Genomic DNA, 21,673 nt, shown 5'->3' on the forward strand with positions numbered 1-21,673 from the left:
ACAGACAGCACAGCACTCACACTGGCAGCACCCCTCCCTATTTCTCTGCTCAGGACACAATCTGCAGGGCTTTTTTAAGGGCCTTTCCTCCCTCTCAGTAATGACCTACCTTGCTATGTTTAAGGCTGAGCTTTTCTTCCCTCCCTTGTTCTGTGTCCTGGGTTCCAGATGAGAGACGCAGAGTTCCATTGAATCTTTAATCTCTCTCGGAAGTACTTAGTCACTGATTTGGCCACGTGGCATCTGCTTTCCCATTGTGGGTCTGGTATGTTAACTAAGAAAGTTATTTTCCAGCCGAGTTAGAAATAGCAGGAACTTGAATTGACTTGCTAGACTGGCAGTGCTGGAAGTTAGGGCCATGTGCCAAAGGAAAGAATAGATGGCCAATCACCAGGGAGCAAATTTCTCAATCTGTAGCCTGAGACTAAACCTTCCTGCTGGCAAGGGAGATGTGTGTTAGGCCTTTGCTGCCAGGTTCACACTGGGAGACGTTCTGTGACTTCTTGGTGGCTCCACATGCAGTCTGAAACTCAGAAGGGGAATTGCGAACCACCTTTTATCTAGGGATAAGGATCTAGAAGAAATAGGGGTGATCCTAGAGACAGAAAACAAAATCCTGAAGAAAAAGTAAAGATGAGAGGAGGCTGAGAAGTCTCAGATATGGCAAAGGTAAGGGACAGAAAAGCAGACCTCTAGATAGTAGGTGCCAGGCCAGTAGTTCTGAAGGCTGACCCTGGGCCCCTGCAGGTGCTGCTGCTAGCCCTGTCCCCCACTCTCAGCCCAGGCCCCATCCCAGCTCCTACCTGGTAGGTACCTGTCGTGGCTGTGGCTGTACTCTATGGCAGTGAGTGACAAGTGAGTCTGTGTAAAGGGCTGGTTGCCAAACAGATTGTCACTACGAAGGTTGTGGCAGAGTTTCTCCAGGAAGCGGAGGACGTAGGTGATGCTGTTGACTGCTGGGAGGTTGAGGGTATGCTGTTCCCGGTCAAACACGGCTGTGGAGTGAGTAAACAGGGCCAAGCATGTCAGCCTGGCAGTGGAGTACAGCGCTAGGCAGGACGAGTCCAGCCCACTGCTTGTCTCAGGCTTACCTGGTTACACAAAGGGAATCAGTGCCCCACGTTTCCTCCCTCCCTCCCTTTAACTCCCTCCCTCGAGGGCTTTGATTTTTGCCTCCAACTGTAAAGGGCTTGCAAATATGGGAGTGGCCAGGCCAGGTCTGTTGCACCCTGGGCTCTGGAATGATTTTATTCAACTTGTGAAAACAACTGTGAACATAATTCTCTCTGCTCCATCACTTGGTTGGACCTCCCCCAGGAAATCTGCTCATTTAGGGTGCTATTTTCACAAGAACTGCCCAAGAACAGAGAAGCTTGGCAGAAGAGTAGAATATAGCCATAGCCAGCAATGGTATGGGTACACAATTTCTGATCTACATAAGGGCACTAGAATTTTGGCAACATTTGGAACTGTTTCATGCTTGGTGTTAGTTTACTTCCTATCATCTTTTTCTATAAAAATGTATCAGTATAAACCTTAAAAAGCAAAGACCTGTGTATTTGTCTCTGAGGGCAGCAAGGACATGGGGATTTGGGGAGATAGGTCATTCTCAAGAACCAGTTTTGAGGCAGGAGAAGAACCCCAGAGAGGGTATAGGAGAGCAGCTAAAGAGAGGCAGTAAAGAAGGCCAGGTTCCTACAGACCATTACACAGAAACAAAGAAGAGACCAGGGAGTAGGCTGGGCCTCAGAAGGGACATAAGGCTTAATTTCCCAGGCACTTCCCAGTCTTTTTTTTTTTTTTTTTTTTTTGAGACGGAGTCTTGCTCTGTCACCCAGGCTGGGGTGCAATGGCACGATCTCAGCTCACTGCAACCTCCGCCTCCCAGGTTCAAGCAATTCTCTTGCCTCAGCCTCCCGAGTATCTGGGACTACAGGCGTGCACCACCATGCCTGGCTAATGTTTTGTATTTTTTTTTAGTAGAGACAGGGTTTTGCCATGTTGGCCAGGCTGGTCTTCAACTCCTGACCTCAGGTGATCCGCCCACCTCAGCCTCCCAAAGTGCTGGGATTACAGGTGTGAGCCACCGCACCTGGCCAATTCCTAGTCTTCTATAAAAATTCCCTGCCTGTCTGCTCCATCCTCCTCACAGCCAAGTACTCCCTAGTCTGGGTTCCCACACCACTCTGTATACATTTCCCTATTACAGCACTTCTCACAGTTAGCTATGTATATTCTTTCTTTTTCACTGGTATGGAGCCTAAGCTGTCATCTTCTATTCTCCCCTTCTCCTGACCAGTGTCTGGCAATCACCTGACACATAGTAAGGGTTCAATAAATGTTTGCTAAAATAATACAGTCTGGTTATTTATGGAGTCTTCCATGCCAGCGGGGTTTCCTGAAGCTGGTTATTACAACCTGCTAGGGAGGAGGGGCAGGGGAATATGGAATAGCATCAGTTAAGACTGAAAGGCTCTAGGTCAAGTCTTCATAGGTTTAGTGGCTAAACAGGATTTTGGATTTAGGAAAACTGAAACAGAATCAGGACACAGGAGAAAAAATGAGTATTCTGTGAGAGCAAAAAACACTGTGTCACTGAATCAAACTCTCATAGCAGTAAAGAAAAAGGAAATGACTTTTCCCAACCACCCTGGGATTTAATTCTCTTCTTCTGGGCCTGGTTTAGGACGAGGAAGCTAAGGAATCAAAGGAATGATAGAGGAGTTCAGTGGTTCCTGAAACCAGGTGGGAGGCTGCAACAGTCTGGAGAAACCCTCCTGCTGCCACAACATAGCCCCCTCTGGATTCTTTCTCCTATACTTTCTGTACGGACAGGTCAATCAGGTAGATGGGGGGAATCAGTTTAGAGGCTCACTGAAGCAGAATCTGTGGGTATTCTCCTTGGCAGAGGTATGCATAAGGCTCAGAGGGGCTCTTGGGGGGTTGGAGATGAGGAATGGAATACCTTCACATTTTTCCAGAGCCTGCAGGTATGAAGTGGGAACCAGGATGCCTTACAAGAAATCAACCAGTTGAGAAGGTGGGTCCTTCTGGCTGGGAGGCAATATGAGCCAAAGTGTGCTTACCTGAGATAACCTCACCACCATGGCCTTGCTTGAGGAAGCTGAAGACGGTTTTCTGGTGATAAGCACAGTCGATACAGGCCTGGACAGCCTGCTGCAACACCACAGAGGCACGGGCTGGTCCAAAATGGTCAGGGAGTTGCTGGACCTTCTTCTTATCTAAGTGGGGGCCTGTGCTGCCATTCTTGTTCAAGTAGATACAAACTATGGGAGACAAAGAATCAAAGAAGCTTCAAGAGTCTCTGGGATAGAGAAGTCAGAGAACAGCATCCTATTCCATCTTTTATACCTTGGCCTCTGGTTCCTAACAGAATTCCTAGCAGCTGAGCTGGTGAAATGCTGTGGGAGGTAGAGGGTGGAGGGTCAAGAAAAGGCTGTGCCCAGCTACTGCCAACCCAAACTGCATGATCAAAGTCTGTGGGAAGACTGGAAGAGTGGCCCAGACCAAAGGCCAAGACACAGAGTTTGCACTTTGTCTTCTGTGCACTGAAAAGAAAATCTAGACAATTCCCCTCTTGTACGTACTTCCATTTTTTTGTACTTGGTTGCCTCACATATTCTTTGTACCTCTTACCATATATGTGTAAGGCACTGTGGGGCAATGGCAATATTAGCAAGGGCATATGTGTGTGTGTGTGTGTGTGTATGTATGTCATTGGATTTAGAATAGTTGCACCATTGATCATTTGCCTTGCTTTCTGTTTTGGGCCTTAGGGTCCCTTTGTTATCTTCTACATCAACACTCATGCCCAAAGAATATAATAAAAATTTTAAAAAAAATTGGATTAAAAAAAAAAAAGTTGGGCTGGGCGTGGTGGCTCACGCCTGTAATCCCAGCACTTTGGGAGGCTGAGGCAGGTGGATCACGAGGTCAGGAGTTCGAGATCAGCCTGGTGAAGAGGTGAAACCCCGTCTCTATTAAAAAAAAAAAATAGCCGGGCATGGTGGTGGGCGCCTGTAATCCCAGCTACTCGGGAGGCTGAGGCAGGAGAATCGCTTGAACCTGGAAGGTGGAGCTTGCAGTGAGCCGAGATTGCGCCACTGCACGCCAGCCTGGGGGACAGAGTGAGAATTGGTCTCAAAAAAAAAAAAAAAAATTGGGTGCAGTGGCTCACATCTGTAATCACAGCACTTTGTGAGGCTGAGGCGGAAGGATCACTTAAAGCCAGGAGTTTGAGACCAGCCTGGGCAATACAGTGAGACCACATCTCTACAGAAAATTTGCTAGGTGTGGTGGCATGTGCCTGTGTTCCCAGCTACTTGGGAGGCTGAGGTGGGAGAACTGCTTGAGCCCAGGAGTTCAAGGCTGCAGTGAGCTGTAATCGCGCCACTGCACTCCAGCCTGGATGACAGAGACTCCGTCTTTAAAAAAAAAAAAAGTGAAAAGAGCTTGAGGGTCCCAAGACGGCTAAGCACTCTCCTAGCTACTGGCCTCCACCTGGCACTGCAGTGGGGAAGGGGTGCAGTGGGCACAGGAGACCGAGGCAGTCCTAACAGAGTTGTCTCTGGAGTTGTTCTCTCCTCAGGACCCACAGCAACCTGGTCAGCAATGACATTTTCTCCTCCATCTGCTTTCCAGCTTCCCATTTGAGTAGCGGGTACTATTCTTTCTTGTGTGGTTGTGGCTCACTAGCTGAAGGGGTAGAAGGGCAAAAGTCTCTTTGCTATTAAAGGTAGAAAAGATAAGAGCAGTAATTGTGTGGCCCGTGGATGGACTGTTGTTCTCCTTGGGTCTCAGGTTCACCACCTGAAAAATGAAGTGACTGAGCCAGATGCTCTCTGAGGATTCTCCACCTTCATAATTCTAATTCTAAGGAGAACCAACATGGACGGAAGAAATGGAAAACAGAAAGTAGGGAGGTGATATGTGGAAAGTGACAGGAGAAACATAAAAACAAAAAGAAGAAAAGGGTAAACAAGATGAATTGAACGAATACATTTAACTCTGTTCTCTCCAAAAACTCACTAAAATGAGCCAGATAATAAGAGAGGAGATGACAATAAGATTAGGAAGGTGGAAAGCGGACTGGAAACGTAGCGACTGACTCAACAGACCCAACAAAGCTGTATACCCTAAAGCTGGAGTGGGGAGTGATGAGAACCACGCTCTCATAATTTGCAAAAGGCCTAATAATCGGCAGAGTTGGTGCCTCTGGAGGTGAGTGTGAGGGGGATCTAATAAAAGAAGGTTTAACTGAAGTCTTTTAAGAAACAGGATTTTCACATCTAGTAATGTGACTCTTTTACTGAAATAACTAAAAATGCAGGAATCCAGAGAGATAAGAAGAGTAATAAAAACAAGTGTCTATGAAAAGACACCTATAAGAATGTTCATAATAGTTTATTCATAATAACCCCAAACTAGAAGCAACCCAAATATCCACCAAAAAGAGAAGAGATACAAATTGTGGTACAGTCATATGCCACATAATGACATTTTGGTCAATGGCAGACTGCATATATGACAGTGTTCCCATGGGAGCTGAAAAATTCCTATCACCTAGTGACCTTGTAGCCAATGTAAAGTCATAGCACAATGCATTACTCATGTGTTTGTGAGGAAGCTGGTGTAAACAAACCTACTACACTGCCAGGCATATAAAATAATATAGCATATAGGATTACGTAGAGTACATAATACTTGGTAACATAATAAATGACTATGTTACTGATTTGTGTATTTAGTATACTTCTTATCATTATTGTAGAGTGTACTCCTACTTATTAAAAAAGTTAAGTGTAAAACAGCCTCAGGCAGGTCCTTCAGGAGGTATTCCAGGAGAAAGCATTGTTATCACGGGATGACAGCTCCATGCATGTTATTGTCCCTGAAGACCTTCCAGTGGGACAAGATATGGAGATAGGAAACAGTGACATTGATGATCCTGATCTTGTGTAGGCCTAGGCTAATGTGTGTGTATGTCTTGGGTTTTAATAAAAAAGTTTAAAAAGTAAAAAAATAAAATAAATCTAGAAGTTTTTTAAATAAAAAAAGCTTACAGAATAAAGATAAAAATAAAATATTTTTGTACAGCTATAAAGTATGTTTGTATTTTAAGCCAAGTGTTATTAAAAGAGTCAAAAAGTTAAAAAGTTTATAATGTAAAAAAGTTACAGTACGCTAAGGTTAATTTATTATTGAAGAAAATTAAAAAAAAATTTAGTGTAGCCAAAGTGTACAGTGTTTATAAAGTCCACAGTAGTGTACAGTAATATCCTAGGCCTTCACATTCACTCACCACTCATTCACCACTCACTCAGAGCAACTTCCAGTATTGCAAGCTCCATTCACGGTAAGTACCCTGTATAGGTGTACCATTTAAAAAATCTTTTAAACCATAATTTTACTGTATCCTTTTTATCTTTATACATGTTTAGATACACAAATACTTAACCATTGTGCTGCAACTGCCTATAGCACAGTAACATGCTATACAGGTTTGTAGCCTAGGAGCAATGGGCTATACCATCTAGGTTTGAGTAAGTACGCTATGACAGGGGTCCCCAACCCCCAGGCTGAAGACCAATACGGGGGTCTACAGCCTGTTAGGAAAGGGGCTGCACAGCAGGAGTTGAGCAGCAGGCGAGTGAGCATTACTACTTGAGCTCCGCCTCCTGTCAGATCAACAGTGGCATTAAATCCTCACAGGAGCATGAATCCTATTGTAAACTGCGCATGCAACGGATCTAGGTTGTGTGCTCCTTATGAGAATCTAATTAATGGCTGATGATCTGAGATGGAACAGTTTCATCCTGAAACCATCCCCCATGCCACTGGTCCATGGAACACCTGTCTTCCATAAAACCAGTCCTTGGTGCCAAAAAGGTTGAAGATCGATGTACTATGGTATTCACAAAATGAGGATACTGGCTAATGATGCATTTCTCTGATCATATCCCCGTGATTAAGTAATACGTGAGTGTATATTCATTTAATGGAGTATCACTTGGCAGTAAAAAAGAAGGAACTCCTGATAGGCACAAGAACATGGGTGCTTTTTAAAACACTGAGTGAAATAAACCAGATACAAAAGAGTACATATAGTATGATTCATTTATAGTAAGTTCAAGAATAGGGAAATCTAATCTATGGTGATAAAAATCAGCATAAAGGTGGAAGTGGAGACCAACTGTAAGGAGGCATAAGGGAACTTCGGGGGTGGCAGAAATGTCTTCCATCTTCCTTGGAGTTGTAGTCACATGGGTGCTTAAAACTCATTAAATTGTAGGCTTTTTTTTTTTTTTTCTTGAGACAGAGTCTCTCTCTGTCGCTCAGGCTGGAGTGCAGTGGTGCGGTCTTGGCTCACTGCAACCTCCACCTCCCGGATTTAAGTGATTCTCCTGCCTCAGCCTCCTGAGTAGCTGGGATTACAGGCACGTGCCATCACGCGAGGCTAATTTTTGTATTTTTAGTAGAGATGGGGTTTCACCATTGATCTGCCCGCCTCAGCCTCCCAAAGTGGTGGGATTACAGGTGTGAGCCACTGTGCCCGGCCAAATTGTATGCTTAAGATCTGTACATTTCACTAAAGGTAGAAACTTTACCTCAGTTAAAATACACAAAAAGGAAATAATATAACTAGTCTGGTGATGATTTAAAAAAATCTACATGGATTAAATGATGAAATATAAAAGGCAGAACTATAAAGCCTTTAGACTATGCAGAAACAACACTGTACCAGTTTCTGGGCCTAAGGATTAAGAAACTGACAACTTCCACTTCCTGTTTCTTGGGACATTTGCTTTGAGACCCCAACTACCATGTGTGAGGAAGCAAAGCCACCCTGCAGGGAGGTCCATTTAAACCAACAGCCAGAACGAGCTGGTTGGCCATGTGGTGAAAGTGGATCCTTCAGTCCTAGTCAAGCCACCCCAGCTGACGCTGCATGCAACAGAGACAAGCTGTCTCCACCCAGGCCTGCCCACATTGTTGTTTTAAACCATGAAATTTTGTGGTGGTTGTTACATGGCAAAAGATTATTGGGACAGATTCTGATACCAGAAATAGGGTGCTGCAGTAACAAAAGGCTGACACACATGGCATTGGCTCTGGACCTGGGGAGCAGAAAGAAGCATAAAGGACCACACAGAGTGTCAGTGAAAACTGAAGGAGACTCGAGGAGAGTTTTAATGGAAGCCTAAAGGTTTTTTTTTTGTTTTGTTTTTTTTTGTTTTTGAGACAGAGTCTTGCTCTGTCGCCCAGGCTGGAGTGCATTGGCGTGATCTCGGCTCACTGCAAGCTCCGCCTCCCGGGTTCACGCCATTCTCCTGCCTCAGCCTCTCGAGTAGCTGGGACTACAGGCGCCCGCCACCACACCTGGCTAATTTTTTGTATTTTTAGTAGAGACGGGGTTTCACCGTGTTAGCCAGGATGGTCTCGATCTCCTGACCTCATGATCCGCCTGCCTCGGCCTCCCAAAGTGCTGGGATTACAGGTGTGAACCACCGCGCCCGGCCTAAAGGTTCTTAATGAGGCTGTCAGTGAAGGTTTAAGGGAAAGTGAAGAAAATCTTATTGGAAGATCGATGAAAGGGGAAGTGTTGAAAGTTTGACAGGACTGTTGCCTATAGTAACATGGAAATAAGAAATATTCCTGATGAACTCAAGGAAATAGCTAAGGAGATTTCCAGACAAAGTAATGAAAGTATCACCTGGCTTCTCCCTGCTTATGATAAAATGCAAGACAAGAGATGAGCTTAAAAACATGTACACACACCCCTCCACATACCCCCAGGACTTGCAGAATTTACAAATAAAATTTCTTATTTCCAGTCTCTCCATAAGGCAAAAAACTATAAATTATGAAAGGATTTCGACTCTAGAAAAGGACAGTAAAATTCTTTAAGATGTAAGAAAGATGTAACTCTATGCTGTGCAGACTCTCAGGCCTAAAAGGTTCTCTAAGAATCTTAAGGGCAAGCCTCACAGATTCTTTGCCTTAAACAACAGGATTTTTAAGAATCTTAAGAGTACTGTCCTACAGCAGCTGAATAGGAAGCCCAAAGTAGAGAAGGGCTTATCATTAAAAGACTTGTAGTTGTGGCTTTTGTCTAATGAAGTGAACTCTGACAGTTCAAAGAAAGCCCCTCAAATTTCTTTGGTTTTAAATTACAGACAGGGTCTTGCTCTGTCATCCAGGCTGGAGTGCAGTGGCATGCATGATCATAGCTCACTGCCACCTCGGCCTCCAGGGCTCAACCAGTCCTCCCACCTCAGCCTCCTGAGTAGCTGGTACCACAGGTGTGCATCATCATGCCCAACTAATTTTTACTTTGTTGTAGAGACGGGTTCTCACTATGTTGCCCAGGCTGGTCTTGAACACATGGGCTCAAGGAATCCTCCCACCTTGGCCTTCCAAAGTGCTGGCATTATGGGGGCGAGCCACTGCACCTAGCTGAAAAACCTCTCACGTTTCTAAGAGAATCATTCTGGCAGAAGCATTGACAGCTTGGACTAAAAGCAAGAAAGATGGTACAAAATGGAAAAAATCCTTTGGATGCCCAACCTTATATAGGCAGGAAGGAAACTAAAAAGGCAATCTCAGTTTTCTTATGGAAAACAAGGATGATTCAGAGGATAAAACCAAGATCCATGGAAAACAACTCCCAGAAAGTAATACTGGACCTAATTAAGGAGTTGGCCAACATGTGCCCAGCTGGATTTCGGAATTTCTTTTTTTTTGAGATGGAGTCTCACTCTGTCGCCCAGGCTGGAGTGCAGTGGTGCAATCTCAGCTCACTGCAAGCTCTGCCTCCTGGGTTCACGCCATTCTCCTGCCTCAGCCTCCTGAGTAGCTGGGACTACAGGCACCCACCACCATGCCCGGCTAATTTTTTGTATTTTTAGTAGAGATAGGGTTTCACTGTGTTAGCCAGGACCTTGTGATCCGCCTGCCTTGGCCTCCCAAAGTGCTGCGATTACAGGCGTGAGCCACCGCGCCCGGCCTCAGAATTTCTATAGACCAGTGACTGCTGCATGCCTTCAGGTTTCCTCCCTTTTGAAAAGAAAGCATCTATAAATGTTACCTCGTGTCTGTTGCACCACTGTGTGTTAGGTAGGTAGTGAGCAGACAACTTATTTCTTTAGTTCACAGGTCGTCGGGACAAGAAGAACCACATTGAAGGAGGTATCCTTGACAAACCACACCTAAGAGGCCTCGTGTACTGGGACCTGATTTAGATGATGAGATCCTAGACCTTGAGCCTACTGGTGTAAAAGGATGAGACTTCTGATGGGGCATCTTGTGAGGGCAAGAATAAATTTTGCAAGTGGAAAAAATGTTAATAATCCATGTCCAGAGAATAGAGAGGTAGTTTTAAAATATGGCCCATATTATTTGACCCTCTTCCTATTGAGAGGTGGGGTCTACTCCTCTCCTCTTGAATCTAGGCTCTGTGACTGATTGATCAATAGAATATGGTGGCAATGATGCTATGCTAAGTTTGAGGCTCAGGCCTTAAGAAAATGGTAGCTTTCACTTCCTATCTCTTGAGAAACTTGCTCTAGGAACGCAGCCACCATGGTATGGCAAAGCCCAAGTTATCCTTTGGCGAGAACCAACAGGCAACATGAGTTCTGCTAGTTATGTGAATGGAATTATCATAAGCCCCAATTGAGGTACCCCAACTGATGCCATGTGGCGCAGAGATGAGCTGTATTCATTTTAATATAGAATATATTGATCTTTTCCTTTATAGTTTATGCTTATTGTCTTATTTTAAAAATCCTTCCCAATCTTGAGGTCATAAGGATATTTGTGTATACTGTCATTTTTTTTTTTTACTAGATCCATTAAATTAGAATTGGAGGTTATTAAAAAAATTCAGAGAAAGGTCTGGCACATAAGGAGTTTGGAAGTTGCCACTCCATCCTAACAACCAGTAAAAAGCTGAATAAGCTGAAAAGTCAACAATCCTTACATCTGTCAGAGAAGTAAGGTCTCAGGGCAAACTATTAGCCCTCAAATTTGAAGAGACAGACAGGTGAATAAGCCGAAGTCTCTGGAACTAGTGCTAGGGCAGGAAAACCTAAACTGTACTTGATGACTTGTCAGAGGCTCAGTGTGAAGAAGTTTGAGATTAAAACTCCAGGGAGTCCCAGTCACTGGGGAGGAGGGGGAAACTTTTGTGAGTTTTGCCTCCAGGAGCTCAACCGGATTCTCACAGTAAATATAAGAGAAAAATACCCTCATGCTTTTGGCAGGGAGAGGGGAAAAGGAACCATTTTGAAATATACTAGAGCCCTCTGTTCTCAACAAGGTCTTCCCTCAGGAGAAACTATTTTACCACAGCCTAAACTATTAGGGATTTTTCAGAGCCTAACTGATCTGGAAGAGGAGAAATAACCAACTCCAGCCAATGCTAGCCTTCCATTCGGGAGAAGAGAAATACCGCACTCCAGGCCATTCTATCCAACCCAAAGAGGTGGGGGCGGGGACCAGAAGCACTTGTTAAGTTCACAGCCCAGGGGCAAAGGCTCATTGAAAGACTGAGATTTAGTCATAGGACTGTAGAATGCTTCCCATCGCTCCACATCACTAAAGACCTATTTACCATGTTTTTTTTGTTGTTGTTTTTTTGTTTGTTTGTTTGTTTTTTGAGACAGAATCTTGCTCTGTCGCCCAGGCCGGAGTGCAGTGGCATGATCTCGGCTCCCTGCAACCTCCGCCTCCCGGGTTCAAGCGATTCTCCTGCCTCAGCCTCCACCACCATGCCTGGCTAATTTTTCTTTTTTTTTGTATTTTTAGTAGAGACAAGGTTTTGCCATGTTGCCAGGCTGGCCTCAAACTCCTGACCTCAAGTGATCTGCCCACCTTGACCTCCCAAAGTACTGGGATCACAGGCGTGAGCCACTGCGCCTGGCCCTACCATGGTTCCTTTTACCCAGTACATCATGTCCAGTTATCACACAAAAAAGGTATACTCAAGGACAAAAAACACAGTTTGAAGAAAAAGCGGCACACTCAGATATGGCAGGGATGCTGGAATTATCAGACTGGGAATTTAAAACAACTATGATTAACATGCTGGGGGCTCTAATGAATAAACTAGACAGCGTGCAAGAACAGATGGGCAGTGTAAGCAGAGAGATGGAAATTCCAAGAAAAAATAAAAAAGAAACACCAGAGATCAAAAATAGTGTAACAGAAATAAAGAATGGGCTGGGTACAGTGGCTCACACCTAGCACTTTGTGGGGGGTCAAGGCCAGTGGATTGAGTGAGCTCAAGAGTTCAATATCAGCCTGGGCAACATGGCAAAACCTTGTCTCTACTAAAATTACAAAAAATTAGCCAGGTGTGGTGGCGTGCGCCTGTAGTCCCAGCTACACAGGAGGCTGAGGTGGGAGGATCACCTGAGTGTGGGAAGCTGAGGCTGCAGTGAGCTGTGACTGCACACTGCACTCCAGCCTGAGAGACAGAGGGAGATTGTCTCAAAAAAAAAAAAAAAAAGAAAAAGAAAAAAAATGAAATGAATGCCTTTCATTGGCCCATTATTAGGTTAGACATGCTAAGGCAAGAATTGCTGCATTTGAGCATGATAACTGAATGAGTGACTGAAGAAATGGTCTCAATCAATCAAGGTTTATTAAGCTAGCTTTGGAGTATGTCTGGGGAAAATATGAGCCACAGACACATCTGTGACTGTTCCAAAGAGGCTTTCAGGATTTTAGTATTTATACATTTTCTTTCTTGTTTTTTTTTTTTTTTTTTTTTTGAGACAGTCTCGCTCTATCACCCAGGCTGGAGTGCAGTGGCACAATTTCGGCTCACTGCAACCTCCGCCTCCTGGGTTCAAGCAATTCTCCTGCTTCAGCCTCCTGAGTTGCTGGGACTACAGGTGCATGCCACCACACCTGGCTAATTCTTTGTATATTTAGTAGAGACGGGGTTTCACCGTGTTAGCCAGGATGGTCTTGATCTCCTGACCTTGTGATCCACCCGCCTCAGCCTTCCAAAGTGCTGGGATTACAGGTGTGAGCCACCATGCTCGGCCTTATTTATACATTTTCTTAAAGGAGGGCAGGTAGGCGGTAAGGGGAATGGTTACATTCTTGTGAGACTTTAGTAAGTGCTTGGCAAATCTACATTTTACATAAGATAATGTGAATGTTTGAAGAGCAAAAATGGGGTAAAGTAAAAATCAATTATGCAGACATCTCTGGGTTGGTGGAGGAATGACTAGTCCCCTTTGTCTTTGTTCTGCACCTGAGAAGATATGATATTGACATTATCAGTGTGGAGTTTAAGAGCTAGACTTAGATTATAGACCTGAAGTTGCAGCTGGTGTGTCCTTGCTTGTGGGAGACCATCGAAGAGTTTACTTGTGAATGATCTGTGCAGGCAGTCCTTCATGGATGCCTGAGGCTTTTTACCTTTCCTTTGGGGATCTGGCTAATGCGTAATGCTAGTAACAGCTATTCACCTGGAAGATGGTGTTACATGGCTTAACCCCCAGGTTTACCCTTCCCTGTTGCATAAGTGATACAGACAGGAGACAGGGAAATACTGGGTAGAAGAGGGCAATTCCCTGGCAAAGGCCCCACCCCCAAGCCTGGAAACCCACAGCACTAAATGGGAACAGGCATTCCTGTTTTCGTGCCCAAATGTTGCCTTTTGGCCTGCCATGCCCCCTTATCCTGTACCCATATAAACCCCAAACCCCAGGATCGATGAGCAGAAGAGTGGCAGAATGGCACAGCAGAGAAGGAGGGAAGAGAAGGAGCATCTGAACACTGAGAGGAGTTTGGCTGGGGATGGTCAGAGAGGAGATCAGCTGCTGGTCAGCCAAACTCCAGGAAGATCATCTTCCCACTCCATCCCCTTTCCAGCTCCCCATCCATCCCACTGAGAGCCACCTCCACCACTCAATAAAACCCTCCACATTCACCATTCTTCAAGTCTGTGTGTGACCTGATTCTTCCTGGATGCCAGACAAGAACCTGGGTACCAAGAGGGCACTGAGCTGGTTTACACTTAAGCCATCTGTAGATGGCAGAGCTAAAAGAGCACTGTAGCATGCCCACTGGGGCTTCAGGAGTTACAGACACCCACCCTTAGATGCTACTGTGGGGCCGGTGCCCCAAAAGTGCTTATCCTAGCTCCTGCACTTGCCCATCTACGTGTTCCCCCTCCTGTAAGGGGTTTGAGTGCACGGCGCTGAAAAGACAAGCCACACCCCTATTGCATGTCCTTCGAGGGAGGTCAAGGAACTCTCCCATTTCATAAGGAATTTGGCGGGTCCAGAGAATTTCTAATTTTCCTTTACAAATATATCTCAAGGGAAAGAAACTCCCAAAATTAAAAGCAAAGAAAAAAAAGACTGAAAAAAAAAAACCATAACAGAATATTCAAGAACTGTGGGATAACTATAACAGATGTAATCTATATATAATGGTGATACTAGAAGGAAAATAAAAAGAGAAAGGAATTGAAGCAATAATGACTGAGAATTTTCCCCAAATTAATGTTACATACCAAATCCCAGATTCAGGAAGCTCAGAGAATACCAGGAAGGAAAAATGCCAAAAACCCTGACATCTACACCTAGGCATATCATTTTCAAACTACAAAAAATCAAAGATAAAGAAAAAACACTGAAACAGAACAGAGGAAAAAATTGTCTTACCTATAGAGGGGCAAAGACAAGAATTATATCTAATGTCTCATAAGAAACCATGCAAGCAAGAAGAGAGTGAAATATTTAAAGTGTTGAGAGAAAAAAACCCACCGACCTAAAGTTCTGTACCCTGCAAAACTGTTCTTGAAATGTGAGGGAGAAAAAAAAAAAAAGAAAAATTGAGGGAGTGTGTTGCCAGAACACCTGCCTTGCAAGAAACATTAAAAGAGGTTCTTTAGAAAGATGGAAAATGATATAGATCAGAAACTTCGATCTATATAAAGAAAGGAAGAGCATCAGAGAAGAAAAAAGTAAAGACAAAATTAATTATGACCTTTTTTTAAATTTCTTTCTTTTTTTGAGACAGGGTCTCACTCTGTCACCTAGGTTAGAGTGCAGTGGTACTATCGTAACTCACTGCAGCCTCAATCTCCCAGGCTCAAGTGATCCTCCTGCCTCAGCCTCCTGAGTAGCTTGGGGCTACAGGCATGCACCACCATGCTTGATTAATTTTTTAATTTTTATTTTTAGTAGAGAAGTCTTGCTACATTGTTGCCTAGGTGCCAAGACCTTGTTGCCAAGGTCTTGCTATGTTGTTGGCGACTCCTAAGCTCAAGTGATCAATCCTCCCAACTCGGCCTCCCAAAGTAGTGAGATTAAAGATGTTAGCCACCATGCCTGGCCTATTTTCCTTAATCTTAATTCATCTGAAACCACCTTTGCAAAAATTGTAATAGTGAGAAAATATGACAGTGAAAGAGATCTGATCTAATCAACTCCTATCTTATCTTTAACCTCCAAACTGCCCTTAATCATTCCTGGGCTTGGGACAAGCTAACTTTGGGAGACATTTAGTTTATAGTTTAAACGATAATAGCCCTTCCCCAAAACTAAACTGTCTTTGTAAAGCTAATGAAAGATCACCAGGTTAGGAGGATGAGAGGAGCTTGAATTCTGCTAAGGTGTAAATGTAAATGATTATTTTTAAAAATTTTTAAAAAACCAAGACCCAAGTTTATGTTGTCTACCAGAAACCTACTTTAAATATAAAGACATATATAGATTAAAAGTAAATGAGTAAAGAAAGATATACCATGCTAACACTAATCAAAAGAAAGCTGGAGTAGCTATATTAACTTCAGACAGAGTAGAGTTCAGAGCAAGGAAAATTATCAGGGAAAGACAGGGGCATTACATAATAAGAGGCCAATTCTCCAAGAAGACATATCATTCCTTAATGTGTGTATACCTAACAACAGAGTGTCAGATATATGAGGCAAAAACAGGCAGACCTGCAAGGAGAAACAGATAAATCCACTATTATAGTTGGAGACTTCAACACCCCCCATCAGAAATGGACACATCAAACAGATATAAAATCAGTAAGGACATAATTGAACTCAATAGCCCCTCAATCAACTGAAATATAGTTGGCATCTATTGACGACTTCATCCAACAACAGCAGGATACATACTCTTTTGAAGCTCATGTAGAACATTCAGCAAGGTAGATCACATTCTGGACCATAAAACACATCTGAATATATTTTTTTAATTTTTAAAATTTCTCATTTTTTTTTGAGACAGGGTCTCACTCTTTCACACAGGTTGGAGTACAGTGTTGTGATCTTGGCTCACTGCAACTTCTGTCTCCCAGGTTCAAGTGATCCTCACACTTTAGCCTCTTGAGTAGCTAGGACCACAGGTGCATGCCACCACACCCGGCTAATTGTTTGAATTTTTGGTAGAGACAGGGTTTCACCATGTTGCCCAAGCTGGTCTCAAACTCCTGAGCTCAAGTGATCCACTGGCCTCAGACTCCCAAAGTGCTGGGATTACAGGCGTGAGCCACCGCACCCAGCCTGAACAAATTTTAAAAGAATAATCACACAATGTCTTCTTTCAGAACACAACAGAATGATACATGAAAAAAATCACCAGAGATTCAACAATGCACTTCTAAATAACACATAGGTCAAAGAAGAAATAACAAGAGAAATTTAAAAAATATTTGGAAATGGCCAAGCATGGTGGCTCACGCCTGTAATCCTAGCACTTTGGGAGGCCGAGGTGGGTGGATCACTTGAGGTAAGGAGTTCGAATCCAGCCTGACCAACATGTTAAAACCCTGTCTCTACTAAAAATATAAAAAAATTAGGCTGGGTGCCTTGGCTCACACCTGTAATCCCAGCACTTTGGGAGGCTGAGGTGGGCAGATCATGAGGTCAGGAATTCGAGACCAGCCTGGCCAACATGGTGAAACCCCATCCTACTAAAAATACAAAAATTAGCTGGGCATGGTGGCGCATGCCTGTAATCCTAGCTACTCAGGAGGCTGAGGAAGGAGAATTGCTTGAACCCAGGAGACGGAGGTTGCAGTGAGCTGAGATCGGGCCACTGCACTCCAGCCTGGGGGACAGAGAGAGACTCCATCTCAGAAAAAAAAAAAAAAAAGAAAAAGAAAAAATTAGCCAGGTGTGGTGGCGTGTGCCTGTAATCCCAGCTGCTTGGGAAGCTGAGGCAGGAGAATTGCTTGAAGGTGGGAGGTGGAGGTTGCAGTGAGCTGAGATCGCACCATTGCACTCCAGCCTGGGTGACAGTGTGAGACTCCATCTCAAAAAAAAAAAAAAAAATTGGAACTAAATGAAAATGAAAATAAAACTTATCACAATTTGTGGGATAGAGCAGAAGCAGTGTTTAAAGGGTGACTTATAGCACTGAATGCAGATATTAGAAAAGAAGATCTAAAAGCAGCAATCTGAGCTTCCATCTTAGGAAACTAGAAAAAGAAGAGCAAATTAAATCCAAAGTAAGCAGAAAATAAAAAATCGTAAAGATTATAGAGCAGAAATCAATGAAATCAAAAACAGGAAATCAATAGAGGAAACAGGCCAGGCGTGGTGGCTCACGCCTGTAATCCCAGCACTTTGGGAGGCTGAGGCGGGCGGATCATGAGGGCAGGAGGTCGAGACCACCCTGGCCAACACAGTGAAACCGCATCTCAACTAAAAATATAAAAAATTAGCTGGGCGTGGTGGTGCATGTCTGTAGTCCCAGCTACTTAGGAGGCTGAGGCAGGAGAATCACTTGAACCTGGGAGGTGGAAGTTGCAGTGAGCTGAGATCGCACCACTGCACTCCAGCCTGGGTGACAGAGCGAGACTCTGTCTAAAAAATAATAATAATAAAAAAAACAATGAAACCAAAAGCTGGTTTGTTGAAAAGATAAATAAAATCAATTATATTCTAGCCAGGCTAACTAAACAAACAAACAAACAAACAAAAAAACAAAACAAACAACCAGAAGGATGACACAAATTACTAAATCAGAAATGATAAAGGGGACATCACTACAGATCCTATTGTCATTAAACAGATAAAGGAATACTATGAACAACTCTATGTCCACAAATTTGATAACCTAGATGAAATGAACTCATTCCTTCAAAGACAGTCTGCCAAAACTCAAACAAGAATAGACAATCTGAATAGGTTTATATCTATTAAAAAATTGAATTAATTAAACCCAAACCTTCAAAAAAGGAAAGTACCAGGCTTAGATAGGTTCATTCGTGAATTCTACCAACATTTAAGGAAGAAATTATACCAATTCTTCAAAATCTATTTTAGAAGTTATTAATAGAAGCAGAAGGAATATTTTCTAACTTATTTTATCAAGCCAGCATTGTCCTCAACAAAGTATTATCAAATCAAATTGAACAATATAAAAAAGAATTATACACTATGACCAAGTCAGATTTATCCAAAGTATGCAAGGCTGACTCAACATTCAAAAATCAATTAATATAATCTATCATATCAACAGGCTAAGTAAGAAAAATCAGATAATCATATCGATAGATGCAGAAAAAGGATGTGACAATATCCAACACTCATTCATAATAAAAACTATTGGAAACTAGAAATAGAGGGAAATTTTCTCAACTTAATAAATAACATCTACAAAAAACCTAGAGCTAACATCATACTTAATGGTGAGAAACTAGAGGCTTTCCAACCAAAATCAGGAACAAGACAAGGATGCCCTCTCTTACCACTCCTCTTCAACATCATACTGGAAGTCCTAGCTAATGCAGTAAGACAAAAAGTAAGATAAAAAGAATGCAGTTTGGGAAGGACGAAATAAAACTTTGTCCTCAGGTGACATGATCGTCTATGCAGAGAATATGAAATAATTAACAACCAAAAACATCCTGGAATTAATAAGTGATTACAAGAATGCAGGATACAAAGCTAATATACAAAAAGTCAATCACTTTCCTATATAGCAGCAATGAACAAGTGAAATTTAAAATTAAAAAACACCATACAGGCCAGGCACAATGGCTCCCTGTAATCCCAATGCTTTGTGAGGCTGAAGCAGGAGGATTGTTTGAGGCCAGGAATTCAAGACCAGCCTGGGCAACATGGCGAGAAACCATCTCTATAAAAAAAATAAAAATAAAAAAATTAGCCAGGCATGGTGGCATGTCTGTAGTTCTAGCTACCCAGTTGAGGCAGGAAGATCGCTTCTGCCCAGGAGTTTGAGGCTGCGGAGAGCTGTGATCACACCACTGCACTCCAGCCTGGGCAACACAGCAAGACCCTATTTCAAAAAATAAAACAAACCAAACCCTCACAATACCATTTATGTTAGCACCAGAAAATGAAATACCTGGGTATAAGTTAAACAAAATATATATAACATTTATATGAGGAAAACTAGAAAAGTTTTTTGAAAGAAACGTAAAAAGAACTAAGTAAACAGATATTTTGTGTTCATGGATAAGAAGACTTAATTTTGTCAGGATGTCAGTTCTTTCCAAGTCAATGTAGAGATTGACTGCAATCCTAATCAAAATCCCAGAATTTATTTTGTAGACAGCAACAAATTGAATCAGCTGGGGGTGGTGGCTCACACCTGTAATCCCAGCACTTTGGGAGATCAAGGTGGGAAGACTGCATGAGCCCAGGAGTTTGAGACCTGGGCAACATAGTGAGACCCCGTCTCTACAAAATTAGCTAGGTATAGTGGCATGTGCCTGTAGTCCCAGCTACTCTGGAGGCTGAGGTGGGAGGATAGCTTAAGCCCAGGAAGATTGAGGCTGCAGTGAGCTGTAACTGTGCCACTGCACTTCAGCCTGGGCAACAGAGTGCACTTCTGTTTCCACAACAATAGCAAACCAAACTGAATCTAAACTTTATATGAAGAGGCAAAAGACCCAGAACGAAGCCAGGAGGGCTGATACTACCTGACTTCAAGACTTATTGTAAAGCTACCATAATTAAGACAGTGTGGTATTGCCTAAAGTATAGACAGATCAATGGAACAGAATAGAGAGCCCAGAAATAAACCCACATAAATATAATCAGCTTATCTTTGACAAAGGAGTAAAGGCAATACAATAAAAAATAGAGAGTCTTTTCAACAAATGGTTCTCAAACAACTGAACATTCACATGTAAAAAAGTGAACCTAGACACAGAACCTACACTCTTGAAAAAAAGTAACCCCAAAAGGATAATAGACCTAAATGTAAAATGCAAACTATAAAACTCCTAGACGATCACATAGGAGAAAATCTAGATGACCTTGGGTTTGGCAATGACATTTTAGATAAGCCCCAGCAGAACCTTGCACCCTGTTCACATCCCAGTTTCAGTCCTGGTGGTACTAGCTTCAAAGAACTGGCAGGTGCAGCCTACGCCTCACTTGTGAGTCCTACCTATGGGAACCCATTTCCAATTTTTGCCCTAGTCCAAGCAGTAACAGCTCAATTTTCCCTAACACCTCATTCCTGGCGCTGCTAGGCCCCAGGACAGAATGCAGTCTGCCAATGGCTAGGATTGAAAATGGTGCGTCAACTGTAGCTGCTTATGGCTCAGAAAGGGTGTGTGACCCAGTGCAAGCTCCTCCCCTGGAATAGTTCCCTCTCCTGGTCTTCTGGCAGCTCCCTATGTCAGTTTCAGGGGTTGGGAAGGTAAAGGGCTCTCGTTGCCAGGAATGCATGATTCCATACGTGGGGATGTGGGCTGCTAGAAGTCTCTTGCTTACCCTTGGGAAGTCACTTGCTGTTTCCTAGCCAATCTCAGCCAGGTAGGCTGCTTCTCTTCTTTCTCCTTCCTTGCTTTCTGTGTTTCCTGTCACTTTCCTGTTGAATTCCAGTGTTCTATCTTAGATAATTTATCAGAAGTATGATTGTCTATATACTCTTTTGGTTTTTCTAAGTGGAGGAGGTGAGCATATGAAATGCTTTTAGTCAGCCATCTTTTTTTGTTGTTGTTGTTTTGGAGACAGGGTCTAGCTCTGTCACGCAGACTGGAGTGCAGTGGTGTGATTTTGGCTCACTGCAACCTCTGCCCTGCCCCATCCCTGGAATCAAGTGATCCTCCCACCTCAGCCTCCCGAGTAGCTGGGACCACAGGTGCACATCAGCGTGCCCAGCTGGCTATTTTTTTTGTATTTTTAGTGGAGATAGGGGTCTCATGATGTTGCCCAGGCTGGTCTTGAACTCCTGAGCTCAAGTGATACACCTGCCTCAGCCTCCCAAAGTGCTGGGATTACAGGCATGAGCCACTGTGCCCAGCCCTAGTCAGCCATCTTGAAACCCCTTTGGTTTCTTGCAAAACAAAACATACTCTTACTATTTAATCTAGCAGTTGTCTTCCTTGGTATTTATCCAAAGGAGTTGAAACCGTATGTCCACATAAAAACCTGCACACAGATATTTACAGCAGCTTTATTCACAATTGCAAAAACTTTGAAGCAACCAACATTCCCATAAGTAGGTGAGTGGATAAATAAACTGTGAAACATCTGGACAATGAAATATTTTTCAGTGCTAAAAAAAAATGAGCTATCGGCCAGGCGTGGTGGTTCACACCTACAATCCCAGCACTTTGGGAGGCTGAAGCGGGTGGATCACGAGGTGAGGAGATCGAGACCATCCTGGCTGACATGGTGAAACCCCATCTC

The 21,673-nt window shown here is 43.3% G+C and overlaps 1 protein-coding gene across 42 annotated transcripts in view; it reads right to left on the reverse strand.

Annotated features, from left to right (window-relative positions):
• SCMH1 (Scm polycomb group protein homolog 1) overlaps window positions 1–21,673 on the reverse strand; it is a 215,105-nt gene that overhangs the window by 18,402 nt on the left and 175,030 nt on the right. For 36 of the 42 annotated variants that reach the window (NR_135092.2, XR_946584.3, XR_007096354.1 and 33 more), the window contains 2 exons: window positions 3,087–3,287; window positions 804–995 (listed from right to left, as the gene is read on the reverse strand). Coding sequence is in view for 35 of the 42 variants with exons in the window: in NM_001172222.3 (NP_001165693.1) it covers window positions 804–995; window positions 3,087–3,287 (393 nt within the window). In the remaining 7 variants the exon portion in view is untranslated. Of the gene's footprint in view, window positions 1–109; window positions 530–803; window positions 996–3,086; window positions 3,288–21,673 lie in introns of all 42 variants that reach the window. The other 6 variants (XR_002959761.2, XR_007096355.1, XM_047449601.1 and 3 more) reach the window with 4 other exon arrangements.

This window comes from Homo sapiens, chromosome 1 (genome assembly GCF_000001405.40).
Source record: "Homo sapiens chromosome 1, GRCh38.p14 Primary Assembly".
NCBI lineage: Eukaryota > Metazoa > Chordata > Mammalia > Primates > Hominidae > Homo > Homo sapiens.